This window comes from Homo sapiens, chromosome 6 (assembly GCF_000001405.40).
Source record: "Homo sapiens chromosome 6, GRCh38.p14 Primary Assembly".
Lineage (NCBI taxonomy): Eukaryota > Metazoa > Chordata > Mammalia > Primates > Hominidae > Homo > Homo sapiens.
In genome coordinates this window covers 89497356-89512535 of record NC_000006.12, presented here as the reverse complement: position 1 = coordinate 89512535, position 15180 = coordinate 89497356, and the positions used below count along the sequence as shown (strand labels likewise).

At 42.0% G+C, this 15180-nt stretch overlaps 1 protein-coding gene and 1 long non-coding RNA gene across 16 annotated transcripts in view; one reads left to right on the top strand and one right to left on the bottom strand.

Annotated features, from left to right (window-relative positions):
* The window catches only part of ANKRD6 (ankyrin repeat domain 6), a 200683-nt gene that overhangs the window by 121299 nt on the left and 64204 nt on the right, over positions 1–15180 (bottom strand). The gene's annotated exons all lie outside the window — the stretch shown is intronic.
* On the top strand, positions 355–4262 carry LOC105377889 (uncharacterized). Its single transcript, XR_001744257.2, has 3 exons — positions 355–429; positions 1583–1687; positions 4200–4262. It is a non-coding gene; the product is annotated as an uncharacterized LOC105377889 (long non-coding RNA).

Sequence of the window (15180 nt, the reverse complement as noted above, 5' to 3'; positions counted from 1 at the left end):
CTGCCAGTGACAGTATGGGATCCCCAAAACCCATGACTGCACTCCGCCCCCTAACTTAGAAACAGACACTCATTGTTCTGAGACCAAAACCAAGAGGTGGCTTAGATTTGCCCCATGGTAGTTCATGTGGGAGTGGAGAGAATAGAGTGCAATGACAAATCTGTATGACACTTAACACTGCAAACTTTCCTTTGTTCATCAGGAGACCCAACCTCTCTACTGGATGTTTTACAAATATAGCATTGACTGGCGTTTAAGACTGTTGCTGTAAGTTTATGTTGGGAGTAACAACGATCAAAGCAGAAGATAATTTTTACTTTTCTATACCATCTATGCATGGAAGTCTATCTACATGGCCCATACAGGCTTATCATATGACCTTGTAACTGCTTTCATGTTGACTTCTCCAGGACTCAAAGAACAGTCAAGGTAACCCCACAATCAGGAGCATACCTAAGACCAAACTGTCAGGCTTAGGCCTGTAATCCCAGCACTTTGAGAGGCCGGGGTGGGAGGATCACCTAAGCCCAGGAGTTCGAGACCAGCCTGGGCAACAGAGTGAGACCTTGTCTCTACAAAAAAAAAATTTTTTTAATGTTTTTAAAAATTAAAAAAACAGTCAGGTTCTTTGGTCTCTGCTGTGGCCACATTTCTCTATTCACTTCCTTTGACTTCCCTTTCAGAAGATGACAAGCACAGGGAATTCAGTTATTTGCCACAAAATCATTTTGCAAATCATAAGGTAATCCTAAAACAAACAAAAAAATGTAGTTCTTTTGTTCCCTAGGGAATAGTGACATCAACAATATCAGGACCAAATTAGATTGTATCAAAAGCCATAGCAAACATTTTCCTGGGCCAGGCATTGCACTAAGCACTTTCTATGCATTATTCTATGTAACTCTTACAAATTTATTCATATTACTATTCATATGCCCATTCTACAGATTAGAAACAAAGGCTCAAAAAGGTTTAGTAACTCACCTGGAGATTCACAGCTAATAAATGGCAGATCTGGCCCTCAAGCTTCAGAGTGCCTGACCCCACAGACTATGCCTTTAACCACTAACTACTCTTGCCTCCTTGTAGTCTTAAATAATGCAAGATGAGTACTTAAGGCAAACAGGGTACCCAGACTTGGGTCTGCAGGTAGGGGTAGAAAATCCAGACCAGCAAGCCAGGAATGGCTGCAGCACTACTCAGAGCAGGAGCAGGAATCTCCCAATGCCTCAGTGTGTGCCTCTGAGAAATGGCTACAAGCCATAGCCCTGGCCAGGTAGCCAGGGAAGGGAAGCCAGGAACCTGAGAGGAGAAGGAATCCAGTGAGGTCCTGAGAAAAGTGTGTATTTGGGAAGAGTCTACGGAGGAAGAGGAATCGGGCTGTGGTGGGCCCACTCGTACCCCTTCATGACCTCAGCCTTGCAATGCGGTGTTTTATAGATGACTTACCCCATGTCAAGGGTAGCTGCTTTCACTGGGCCTATGATCACATCCTTATAATAAGCCCTGACACAGAAGTCTCTGGATGAAGAGGAGATGTTGTCAGCAGGTGATTCTACCGCTCCCTTTATTCCCTGTCCAGGGCAATGCTAAGCAACACCAGCCATCACCATCCGGCTCTCCACTCCGACCTTCAGTAACCACTCACTTACCCAACAGATATACACTGAGCACCTACTATGTACAGGTACTGTGAGGGGTACAGAGTTACAGCATAGAGCAAAGCCAAGATCCTTCACAGAACTTACATTTTATATGATTGTATTTATATAAAATGTCCAGAAAAGGCAAATACAGAGACAGAAATTGTATCACTTGTAGACTAGGGCCGGGGAGATTGGGGGGAAATAGGAGTCACTGCTAATAAGTACAGGTTTCTTCTGGAGGTGATGAAAGTCTTCTAAAATTAATTGAGATGATTGTTGCACAACTCTATGAATATACCAAAACCCACAGAATTATACACTTTAAGTAAATTTTATGGTATGTGAACTAGATATCAATAAAGCTGTTGAATTAGCAAAAATAATAAGGACCAAAAAACAGAACTTTCCATCTCAAGCTCTGCTCTATGCTATTGCCACAGTACCAGGTGCTTTCTGTATATAAAGAATAACATGAATGCTTCCCAATGAGGCTAAAAAAAAAAAAAACTATTTGGAAAGACTTTTAAGTGGCCAACCTATTTGCTAATGTGCCCCTTAAAACGTTAGGCACATCAGAGATTATTATGTGACTCAAGATAGGCTAAATTATGCTGTAGTAACAAACAAGCCTCAAATCTCAGTGGCTAAATAACATAAGTTGATTTTGCATTTATGCTACACCCACTTAGGGCTGGCTGAGGCTGTTTCCTCTCCAACTTGCCCAGACTGACAGAGCAACCACCATCTGGAGCTTTGCCAGTCTCCACAGCAGAGGGCAAGAGAGATCTGGAGGGTCACACACTGGTGACAGAGTGACTTAGCCCAAAAGTGATATAGCATGCTTCTCTCAACATGGCTAGAAGTAGTCACATGGCTCCAAAAACACAAGGAGGCCAGGAAACGCAAGCCCATCACATGCCTGGAAAACAGAAAGCTTTGAAAAGCCAGTAAACAGCGCTAATGTTTGCACTGGCGATTAAGGTATAGTGTGGTTAAGAACATGGATTGTGAAGTCAGCATACTTGGCTTAAATCCCAATGCTGTCACTCACTATCTAGACATCACCACATTACTTGGGAGAAGTTAACTTGACCTCTTTGGGCCTCAGTTTCCTCACCCATAAAGTGGGGAAAGTAATGGTATTCACCTCATAGGTCTGTTAGAAGATTAAATGACGATTTCTATCTGTCAGGAAGGGAGAACAGTACCTGGCAAGTGCTAATGCCGCAAGTACCATATAACCTTTATTATTTTGAGAAAAAAATAAAGGCAATGTTTTATCTTTGTAATATAATGAATTGGCACTGTGTGAACTGTCATTCTACAGAATCCAATACATACAAAGTAGGCATAAAATAAACTGCAGCCCTCAGTAACAGAAAACCAGGACTTCCACGTCTTACTTAGCCCACCCTTAAACTAGTTGTCCAGTCCCTTGGCTTCATGTTTCTTTCTTATCTTTAAGTGAAGGGGCTGTATGAGATGATTTCCAAGGCTCTCCCGCACTAAAAGCTTGGAATTCCTTATTCATGGGTCACTGACTTGGCCCAGTGTGGTCTTTTCATTGTTTGCTCTCTGTTCTTTGCCAATAAAGGATGGTCCTCCCCTTCAAATCAAGGGAGCACCAAGACATTCCCTACCTGGTTCAGAAAGGTGAACCCCACCTGGATGCGCCCCTCTGGGCAAGCCGACCCTAGCCCACTTGCTGCCAGCAAGACATCAGGAAGCAGCCAGGAGAGAGGCAGGTCACTGGTGCACTTCAAAGGAAGCGCCCGCCTCCCAGGGAGAGTGGGAGGGTGCACAGTCGCCCAGAGGGAGGGCAGCTGGCCTCCACCCAGAGCCCTGGTTAGTTGCCTCCTCCCATCCCTGTGCAAGAGCTTCATGGCCCTCAACAAACAGCTCCACACACCTTTTGGAAGCACCCTCCTCACCTGCATCTTCCCTCCTTGGCCCAGGTGGGTACTGCACCTCTGTGTTGGAGGAGTCTTTGTGGTTCATGGAGAGCCAAACATTCCCACAGATCTGTTGTCTAGTTGGGCCTATTCTGGGGTCAGGAACAGGAATACAAATTTAAAAATTAGGAAGATGTGCCGTGAGATTTTCTTAAAAATCTCCCAGTAGAGCAAAGCTTTAAGAAGTGGGGACCATTCACAACATTTCAACCTCAGTTTAACACTTAAATATGTGAATAAAATATAGGTAACCAGGAAAATAAATCTCAGTGCTGCTGTTTTTCTAATGTTGATGACCGTGTCCGACAATTTCAATCTCAGTAGCTGAGGCACCCTCCCTTTAGGAGCCATTAAAGCCACCTCCCCCAATGTAATCTATCTTTTCTGCTGGAAATCCTTTTTGCCCCCCACACGTATCTCTGAGCCATGCTCTCATTCTGCTTTACACTTCATATGACTTTCTCTTTCTGCACCTGTGCCCTGGCTGGGATGCTATGGCAAGTTCCACCTCCTGGGAATTCCCTGATTTCCCCAACTCTCATCACTTCTAGGTCACTTACTGTCAACACCCATTTGTACCTGACCAGAGCTATCCTTTAAGGTTCAAGCCAACAGCCATGTGGGTGAGACCTCCTGGAGGCAGATTGTCCAGGCTCAATCAAAGCACAGAAGACTGCAGCCCTAGCCAATGTCTTAGACTGCAACCTCACAAGGGACCTTGAGCCAGAACCACCCAGCCACTCCTGGATTCCTGGCGCACAAAAACAGTACGGAATACTAAATGTTTATTGTTTTAAATAAAGTACTAAGTTTGGGGTAATTTGTTATACAGCAATAAATAATGAATACAGGTGGTATCTAGGTGATAAAGCAAGCTTAATAAAATATAGAATTTATGCAGGTGGTAGGTATACAGGTGTTCACTGTAAAAGTCAGCTTTGCTGTATGTATGAACATTTTCATAATCAAACTTGGGGGGAAAAGTGTAGGCTGCATAATATAAAACTGGCAGCTGGATCATTCTAGGACACAGCTACAGGAAAGTTTCCTGAACAATAAAATAAAATGATTTGAAAGAATTACCAAGGAATATAGTCTGTTTTGGAAGCAGCTATCTTTGGAGCATTTACTATATATATTTTATAGTATACATGTGTATATATAAAGTAGGATTAGATGTGTATGTGCTACTTTATTTTATCCCAACTCCCAATTTTGAAATAGACACTGATCTGCCAATTTCAGTTTTTATCAGCAAGGGCACTTCTCAGGAATCCCATGAATGACAAGGAATTACCATAATATCAAAGGTAACCTATTTCTTCCAATGAGGCCACCAAACATCCATTTGTCCTACCCCGTGCTCTGTTTGTTCTGTCTGATTTAGTTCCCAAACTAATTAGGCTAGCTTAATTCCCTGCTGCTTTATCAGCTAATGATTAAAGACACTTGATTAACTTTTACAGAACATTGCTCAACATAGAGCTGCAACAAATGGGTAATTCTGCACTCCAGAGAAATCAGACTGGTAAGACCAGTGCTGATGCTGGTTTGTGCTTTCCTTGCTATTTACCTATACTTAACATCCACTCCTGCATATTTTTATAGTGAAGAGTATGCTAAAATTGCTGTTCATATCAAATACTGAGAATATATTTTTACATAAATAATGCAACTAGCCCAGTCTTTTTATGTAATGATATGAACCATAAAAAAAATTATGTGTTTAACAGAAATACAGACCCATTATTTTCTTCAAATATAAACAAACCAAAATCTGCCTGTCAGTGATTGGAGCCTACTTTGTTTATTTTACAGATATCAGAGGTGGTCATCACAATGTTAATTGATAATAAAAGTTACCCTGTTACAAAGCACACAGTATTGTACTAGAGATAAGCTTGGAAAATATTGACAGTTGGATTCAGTGTTTAGCATAGAGTCTTATTTATATTGCATATGGAATCCTCAACACTGGCCAATGCCAACACATGGAAGAAGAGGCCCCTGCAGTATTCACCACAGACAAGCATGAGGTGAGGCAGACTAGGGATTGGCTTGTTTAATCTCACCTCAACTGCCTCCTAGTTGGAGAGGACAGAAGGTTAAACACTACATTTTTCAGGCTCCACACCTTGCAGCTAGAGATCGGGATGCGAACCAACTAAAGTCACCTGTGCAAAATTAGGGAGGAAGTGAAGCAGAGGCCTTCTCTGGGCAGCTTTTGGCTGGCAAGCAAACTGTGGAATGGGAAGTGGGTTTTTGTTTTGTTTTGTCCAGCTTCGTTGAGGTATAACTGACAAATTTAAATTGTATAAATTTAGGCTGGGGGTGGTGGCTTACGCCTGTAATCTCAGCACTTTGGGAGGCCAAGGAGGGCGGATCGCTTGACGTCAGGAGTTCAAGAGCAGCCCGGCCAACATGGTGAAACCCCGTCTCTACTAAAAATACAAAAATTAGCCTGGCACGGTAACACACGCCTGTAATCCCAGCTACTCGAGAGGCTGAAGCAGAAGAATAGCTTGAACCCGGGAGGTGGAGGTTGCAGTGAGCTGAGATTGCGCCACTGCACCCCAGCCTGGGTGACAGAAACTCCATCTCAAAAAATAAAAATAAATAAAATTGTATAAATTTAAGGTAAACATGTTTTGATATATGCATACATTCCTAAATGAGTACCACAATCGGGTTAATTAACACATCCATCACCTCAGTTACTTTTGTATGTGGTGAGAATACTTAAGATCTACTCTCCTTGCAATTTTCAAGCATAATACACTAACTATAGTCACCATGCTGCACATTGGATCTCCAGAACTTATTCATCTTATAACTGAAAGTTTATACCCTTTGACTAACATGTTCCCATTGCTTCCACCGCCCTCCCCCAGCCCCCGCAACTACCTTCCTACTCTATTTCTATGAGTTTGACTTTTTAAGATTCCACATATAAGTGGAATCACACAGTAGTGTCATGTGTTTGGCTTATTTCATTTAGTATAACATCTTGCAGGTTCACGCATGTTTTCGCAAATGGCAGGCTCTCCTTTATTAAGGATGAATATACTACTGGGGTTCATTTCCTTTATTCAGTGGACACAGGTTATTTCCACATCTTGGCTATTTTAAGTAATGCTGCAACAAACGTGGGGTGCTGATGTCTCTTTATGACAGTGATTTCATTTCCTTTGGATATATACCCAGAGGTGGGATTGCTGGATCACAATGCAGTTCTATTTTGAATTTTCTGAGGAACCTCCATATGGCTTTCCATAATGGCTGCACAAAATGGGTGGGTTTTCTGTAACCACACTCTAGGGCCACTCTCTTGAGTGCCAGGAGGCACTGTAGTGGCAGACCCTTCTCCGTTCAGGCTTCCTGAACTTTGGAACCCAGTAAAGAGTGGATTCTTGAACCTACAGGTCCAGTTAATGTCCTGTAATTGGCAGCCCTGCCAGAGGACCAGATCTTCACTCTTCTGGGAGTTGCTCTGAGGGCCCAGCCCTGCCAGTGATTCTGTGAGCACTCAATTCTGTCTCCTTCTGCTTAAAATGCCTAGAGGAGTTGCTGTTTCCTATGCTGATCCCTTACTTATTCACAACAGAAATCCTGTATCTTTTAAGAACACTAAAAAATGAAAATACAATGATCCCTCCACTGTTTATTTTCCAACTACTCAATCTCTAAGCACTTCAGGATGGGTAGCAAGTGCTGAAATTGCACAGATGGTGCATACGGGAGGACAGCCCCTGGAGAAGGCAGAAATACAGATGCCGGGTAAGGAAATGGAGAACCAGCATAGCCCCAGGATGGTCAGGATTAGACCAACTCTGCCTGCAGAGAAGAAAGGGCAAGGGGAGGACACACAGGGAAACTAAAACCATAAAAGCTAATCTGAAATTGACATAATGGGCCAATCAGCCACACAACTTACCTGTGGACACATGTGACTCATGGAAACCAAGCTCGCTACTTACAGTTAAAGCTCACACGGTATAAGGTGGGGCCAAAAAAAGAAGCTGTGATGTCAGGAGTTCTGTGACGTGCATGCGATTTAATTGAGCATTTCCAGGCTGTGGGTGCACAGTGATTTAGATTTTTCATTAAAGGGAAAGGCAAGAAGCCCTCTATTTGCTTTAAAGCCAGCACGTCTAAGTTCTATTCCCCACACTACTGCTGCAGACTGGATGGGCAAATTCCCAATTTGTTTCCTTTACTTCAAGACCGTCCTTCAGCCAGGCAGAGTAGCTCACACTTATAATCCTAGTACTTTGGGAGGCCAAGAAAGGAGGATTGCTTGAGTCCAGGAGTTTGAGACCAGCCTGGTCAATATAGCAAGGCCACATCGCTATAATTTTTTTTTTTTTAATTTAACCAGGCGGGTAGCACATGTCTTTATCCCAGCTACTCAAGAAGTTGAGGCAGAGGATCTCTTGAGCCCAGGAGTTCAAGGGTGCAATAAGCTATGATCGTGCCACTGCACTCCAGCCTGGGCAACCGAGCGAGACCCTGTCTAAAAGAGCGAGAGCGCGAGCGAGAGCGAGAGAGAGACTGTCCTACAACAAGAGTCTCAATAATAAGAGCAGCAGCTACCCTCTATGGAGAACCTACAAACCCACGTTCCCTACGCATCCCATTTAACCTCACAGCATCCCATCAGCTGGTTATTATTAAATGGATACGATCATTCTCCCTCGTTTACCACTCCCATCTTGATGCAGGCCTCCATCACCTCTCACGTGGATGCTGAACAGCCCCGTGCCTGGTCTTTCTGTTTCCGTTCTTCCTTCCCCCCCACCCCCCGCCCCCCACACTATCTCAATACAACTGCCAAGGTGATCCTTTAAACCTCAGGTCAGACCTTGTCACTTTTCTACTCAAACACCCTCTCCCTCACTACCACTGTGGCTTCTCATTTTACCCAGAATAAGCGCCCAGGTCTGGACAATGGTCTCCAAAGTCCTCCAGCGTCTGCTCCCCACTTACCTCTCTGATTACATCACCTCCTGCTCCCTTGGCTCATTCTGCTCTGGCCACACCAGCCTCCTTGCTCCTCTACCAACACACCAGGCACACCCCTGCCTCAAGGCCTTGCACTATGGTCCCTCTACAAGGAATGCTCTTATCACCAGCTAGTGAAACAGGCTTCTCCCTTAGGGCCTACAAGTGTTTGTACAAATGTTACCTAATCAGTGATGCCTTCTCTGACTACCCTATTTAAAACTGCAGTCTTAGCACTTATTGCCATCTATATAATGTATTAATTTATTTTGTTTACCATTTGTCACCCTCTCTGGCTCCTTGAGAATAGAACTTGTTTTGTTCAAGCCTATATCAGCCACATATAGCAGGCACTTAATATTTATTGAATTTGATGACAAGATGAAGAATGTAGGGGATTAGGTAACTTGCCCACGTCTACACACATAGTAAGCAGTACAAGGGGCCAAACTCAAGTTCCCTCTGACTCAGAAGCCCATACTCTGTCCAGAGCAACCTAAACTCTCCTTCTACAGCCCAGGGGCTTTATGAGATGCAGCAGGCATAAAATAAACACCCGAACCAATGGCCTTCTGTCCTCTAATGGCTTTCTGTCCTCTCTGCCCAAGAGAGGTAACATTAGGCACTGGCCTAATCACGACTTCCTAATGTGCACAACCTTAGAAGCAGTGGGACCCCATTTCTGAGGACTCTCGTCTTTCTCTTTCAATCCTTCCTTGATCACCCCAGCAGCCAAAAAGCATCAGACCCACCCACTAGCCTAATGCAAAAAGCTCATCACAGCCTGAGAGTTCAGTAGTTTTTTCCAATTACTAACCTCAGTGAGATATTATAGCTTCTGCAGATTACCTCTGGTTCTGGCTGAAAGAACTGTGTGAGTCCAAGCCAAGAACCCTGCTGCCTGCAGGATGAAAGAGACATTGGAAGGGGCAGCACTATAGGGAGGGTGCAGAGGGTGTGGTGGAGGGGTTACAGCCCAGAGTTATATAGAAATAGAAGCAGCTGCAGCAAAGGATGGGGGAAATCCTGTTAGAACCAGCCAACCCCCACCTCCACACCCCAGTCCCCTTGGTGGAATAAAATTTATCTTGTCATACCCTAAGTGAAGATCTCTGTATTTTTAAATTTAAATCAATTAACATAAATAACACTTAGAATAGTACCTGCCACTGTAAGTACTACATTTCCATAGCTATTATCATAATGGGATTTAATTGCTATATTTTCTTGACAATAGCCAAAAGCTCAAAAAGGGTCCCGTCAGGTAAGGAAAGCAAGGATCAAATCTGCATATGCTTTAAAAGCCAACTTTTTAAAAAGTATTCATTGGCCCAGACTCTTCTAAAAAATAAATAAGACTAGGCTGTAAGCTTTTAGTAGATAGGGATTTGGACCTATTTCCCTTTATCCTTTTTTTTTTAAATAATAACGCTTTGCCATGTTTTTTAAATAAAGGTTCGCCATGGTTTCGCCACCTTGCCCAGGCTGGTCTCGAACTCCTGGGCTCAAGCGATCCACCTGCTTCAGCCTCCCAAAGTGCTAGGATTACAAGCATGAGACACCATGCCCAGTCTATTTCTCTTTATATCACCTTTGGAATGTTCAAATGATTATTCTGCATGAGATAATTATGGTTAAGTTATTTTTATTATAGTTACGTTAAGTATGGCAATGTTACATTATTTGAAATAACTATATACCTGAAACTGAAAAAATATTTTTCAAATAAACAGGCAGTGTAAACCCCAGATATGCCTACTATCCTAATAATTACCATGGTTGCTATGAAGAAACATGGTGGACCTTGGGGGAAAAAAGTTACAAACATCTAACAACCAATGAAGAAACTGAATAAAAAGAGATTTAAGGCAAGTGTAATTTAATGTTAACAATAAGAATATGGGAGGCTAGGTGAAAGTGTTAATCATCTGCAGCAGCTGCCCACCAGCACTTTCAGCTGGAAACCAATGAAGGTGAAACGATCCACAAACCAGACCCATTAAAAGAACACATAAATCCTGTGGGGAGGTGATGAGATGGGACATATTATTATTCCTACCACTCAGTTCAAGTCACTGCCTTTTTTTTTTTAAGATAACTCCTTGTATCAGAGACTTAGCACCACGACACCTTCTAAATGAGAAATAAATGAAATAAGAATCATAGTTACTGCATCACACAAGCACAAAACACCCATTCACTTTGGTGTAACAAACAGTATTTTCAAGCATCTCCACATGGATGTTATCCATAAAGCCCCTCCCCAGGTATCTGAAATAAGTAGTTTTCTTTAATGCAAAAATACTGTATGGTACACAATCAACAGGCAACTTGCTAAATTTTGCTTCCTTCCAGAGAGATGTGCTGTGGATTAGTTACAGAGAGTAAAAGCCACGCTGTGAATAAGCCTAGCATTCTCGTGGCTGGGAGCTCTGCTGAGCTCTTCAAAGGAATGTGTTTCTAAAGAATGTTTAAGTAAGCTTAAGGAGTTCCAAGCAACCCAATACTGACATATCTGGCATGCTGTATTTGCCAAGAAGGCATCCCTCTCAAATGCAAATGCAGATCAGAGCTCCACTGACTCCAAGCTCAACTTGAGGAAGGGAGACACAGAAGACTTTTTGCTGAAAGTATTTGTGTTTTTTCATAAGCATGTGTTCCTTAAAGAACAAAACCCTGGAAATACGTAGAAACAAGCCTTAGGCTTCCATAAGGGAAAACAATTAATCGTTAAGTCTTGATTTTGCAGGTACAAATTATGTTCCATATAAAGACAAGTAAACCTCAATGACGAAAAGCATCCCAAGTATCACATGTTCTGAAATTATGATGCAGGCAAAAGCTACTCCTAAGAAATGGCCTCAGGTGCAAGCCCCGTCTTGATGAGCATTCCTACCAAAGTGTCTTTCAGATACAGTAAGAGCTGTGCTTTTTTCTGTGCTAGAAAAAAAAAAAAAAAAAAAAGACTAATTGGGGACAGTCCTCTTCTGACTGTGTTAAGTGCATCACATTATCTTTATTATTTACTCAGCTCACAACCCATTGCCTTGGCCTGAAATAGATTAAGTTGGACCTAATAAATCAAAATACAACAAGAATCAACAGAAACTTAAAACTACGGCCCACAGTCCTGGATGCTAGCTCATCTATTATTAATGCCTAAAGCCACTAAAAGCCTCATAGCTCTAATGAGAATAGCAATTAACTTTGTTGTAGCTATTTACAATTTCCAAAGTGCTTTCCCATCCCACAGCCCCTTTAATCTCCTGGGAGATTAGGGACCTGGGAGGAGGGCGTTAGGCTCTTCCCCCATTACACGATTTCTGAGAACTCTCAGAAATTCAATGGCTTACTGAAGAAGACACATCTGGTGATACAGCCAGGACTTTTTCAATTCCAGTTACTATTCGTTTTTTAATGTATTGCTTTATTAAAAAATATATCATATGACATTATTAATAGTAGGACTGCCTGGTGAAAATTTTGCAGCCTGATGCATTTTTCTAACCATGGTATATTCATTCCATTTCCAGAGGCTGCCTGTACTGTGATATTTTTCATGCCAGGAACTTCAGGGTAGTATTTCTATCTTCAATATCACAGCACAGGCAGCCTCTGGCTTCTCTGCTTGGAATTCCACCTCCAAGTAAAGGGGAAGAAAAAAAGGAGAGTGAGTGATCTGTGGCTCTCTCCTGGGAGGCAGGGCTGGGAGCTCTAGAACTTAGCCCCTGTGTTGCTCAAGTGACCAGAAGCTGTCTCAGTGACAGAAGCCTCTGCTTCCTTCCTCTAGAAGCATCAAGGTCATCAACTGGAGCAAGATAAAAGAGCCACCAGAGGTGGGAAAGGTGACCATTCACATCACCCCAAGCCCAGGCCTCATAAAACTGGGGTGTGATGGAATCTGGAGAGACAGTGAACAAATTATAAGCCCAGATGCCTCGGAGGCTTTTCAGAGTACGATTTTATAGAGGCTTTAGGGATTTCAGTGGGCATTTCATGCTTTTTGTCTCCATTACTCTTTGGTTTGCAGTGCATTTGTCTTCTGTTTGGAATGCTGTTTTGATGCTGAAGTCTTGAGGAATCAAAGTGGGCATCATAACAGAGTTGAAAGGGAAGACAGGCTAAACTGAGGAGCAGCAGGGAAAGGGGACCGTGAGGGTGTTTAGGTTGTCCAAGTCAGTACAGCAGTGTCTCAAGAGCCCTGGGTGGCTTGCTCTGTGTAGGACTAAATCACGGAAGCAGACTAACGTTTCTTACCATGCATTATGAACTGGTATTGTGAACAGGAACATTTGTGGTACGGCACTGTCTCACACAATACAAGCTATTGGCACCCCTGGCCTGCAGGTGCTAAATAACAGTAGCACCCTCCCCCCAGCACTGCGACCCCAACCCACTGGTTGAGAAACGTTAAACTAGATAATGTCTAGGACTTCCTATCCCTAAAATTCCTCAAGTCCATGACTAGATGACTAGACCAGAATGGCATCAGGCGTGACAGTGCTCTGAGGTGGCAAAAAGGTGACAAACACATAAGTATCAATGAAGCATGTAATCAGCTGCAAGTAACAAAAAAGCAGGCTCACCAGGCCTCACAAAATAGAGGCTTCTTTTTCGCCCATATGAATAAGTCCTGGAGAAGGCAGTCTACAGTTGGTGACAGTTTACCATTACCCTCAGAAACTTAGGCTCCTTTTATTTCTAAATTTTGCCAGCCTTAATGTGATGGCTTTTATCCTTATGTCACCTCATGTTTTCAAAAAGGCTGCTCTACATCCGGGTGTTACATCCAGGTCCAGACAGGAAGAAGGCAAAGTCTTTTTCTACCTTAGATATGTCTTTTTATTCAGGAAGGGAGACCTTTCCCTACAGACTTGTGCTTGGCCAAACTATATCACATAACCACTCCTGGCTGGAAGGTGGTTAGGAAAATTGAACATTGAGATTTCCAGTCTCAACAGTAGAGGAAGGCAAGTGAGAGAGTGGTTGGGAATGGGCCCTGAGAAAGCCAACCTCAAGCATCTACCTCAGGAATCTTCATCCAATTGTGCTCACATTCTGCAAAGAAGCTGGCACATATCTCATACTCAATAATTATGAAAACATTAATGAATGGTCCACAAAGCTATTCAGGAGCTTATTTCTCCTTGCTTATTCTAATTCAAAGAATCCATCTAATCCATAGCAAACTGGGCTCCCAAATCAACAGAAACAATGACCGGATTGTATTCTCACCTTGGTCACAATTTCAGATTAGCAAATTTGAAATTATCCGTGTTCACTTCTCTGCATAGCAGGTTTCAAGAGAACACTTCACATCATTCTCTATAACACATCTCTCTCTACCCTTAAAACAAAACAAAACTTGGCATTTAGAATAAAAGCAAAATGTAAACAAGGTAAAAAAAAATATATATATATAAAGGGAAATCTATTATCTGCACAGACTGATGTTTGAATTAAGTACTATAATTATATATTACAGACCTAGCAGATATATAAGATTTATACATCATTATATCCCAGATTGTCATAGGTAGTGCCTTAAACATAGCAAGAATTTTATATTTTAATTTAATGTTTAGTTCTCTTACCTTCCCCCTTACCTAGGTAGCCACATGTTCTCAAAGTATTTTGCTCCTTAGCTATAGAAAAGAATGAGATAAGTACAAATGCATATATTAAAATATTTATAAAGTAATAACACTAGCTTCAAAATAACCCAAAGAAGTAGGAAAAGTGGGTGGAAGAGGGAGTAAGACTGACCATGGCTTCATAATTACTGAATCTGGGAGTGAGGTACTTGTGGGTGACTTACACTAGTCTAATTGTGAAATTTGCCACAATTCAAAGTTTTGTTTTTATTTGTTTTAAATCCCTCTGGAACTGATATTAACATATACTTCGTGGATGAACCTCAAAAACATTATGCGCAATGAAAGTAGCCAGAAACAAAAAACCATATACTATCTGATTCTATTTATATGTAATGTCTAGAAAAGGCAAATTTATGGAGGCAGAAAGGGGACCAATGGTTGCCTGGAGCTAGGGGTGGTAGTGGGGACTGATCACTAAATGGCATTAGGAAACTTTTTGGAGTAATGAAAACGTTCTCAAACTGGATTCTGATGATGGTTGCACACTGTGTGAAATTACTTTAAAAATCACCAAACTGCATAGTTATAATGGATAAATTTTATGATATATAAATTATACCTTAATAAAACTATTTTAAAATTCGAAAGCTCTGAAGATACACAGATACACAGAGAGAGAGAGAGAAAAAAACATATCCACTGTTATTTGCTAATACTACACTTAGGAAGACAAGACTTGCAGGTAAAGTGTTTAAAAGACACAATTTAGAAAACAAGACAGTTTCCTAGGATTTCAAAGATCCCCTATTATTGTGGAAAAGCAGCATCTAGTCATATATACCATTTCTTGTAGTCTTCCTACAAAGCAGAAAATTATAAATAGAAAAAGAAAAAAGGAAACAGAGGTCTGTTTTTGGTCCAGCTGAAGCAGTCAGCCCCTACTTTACGCAGCAGAACTCACCAGGAGGTAGGAACTTACCAGGA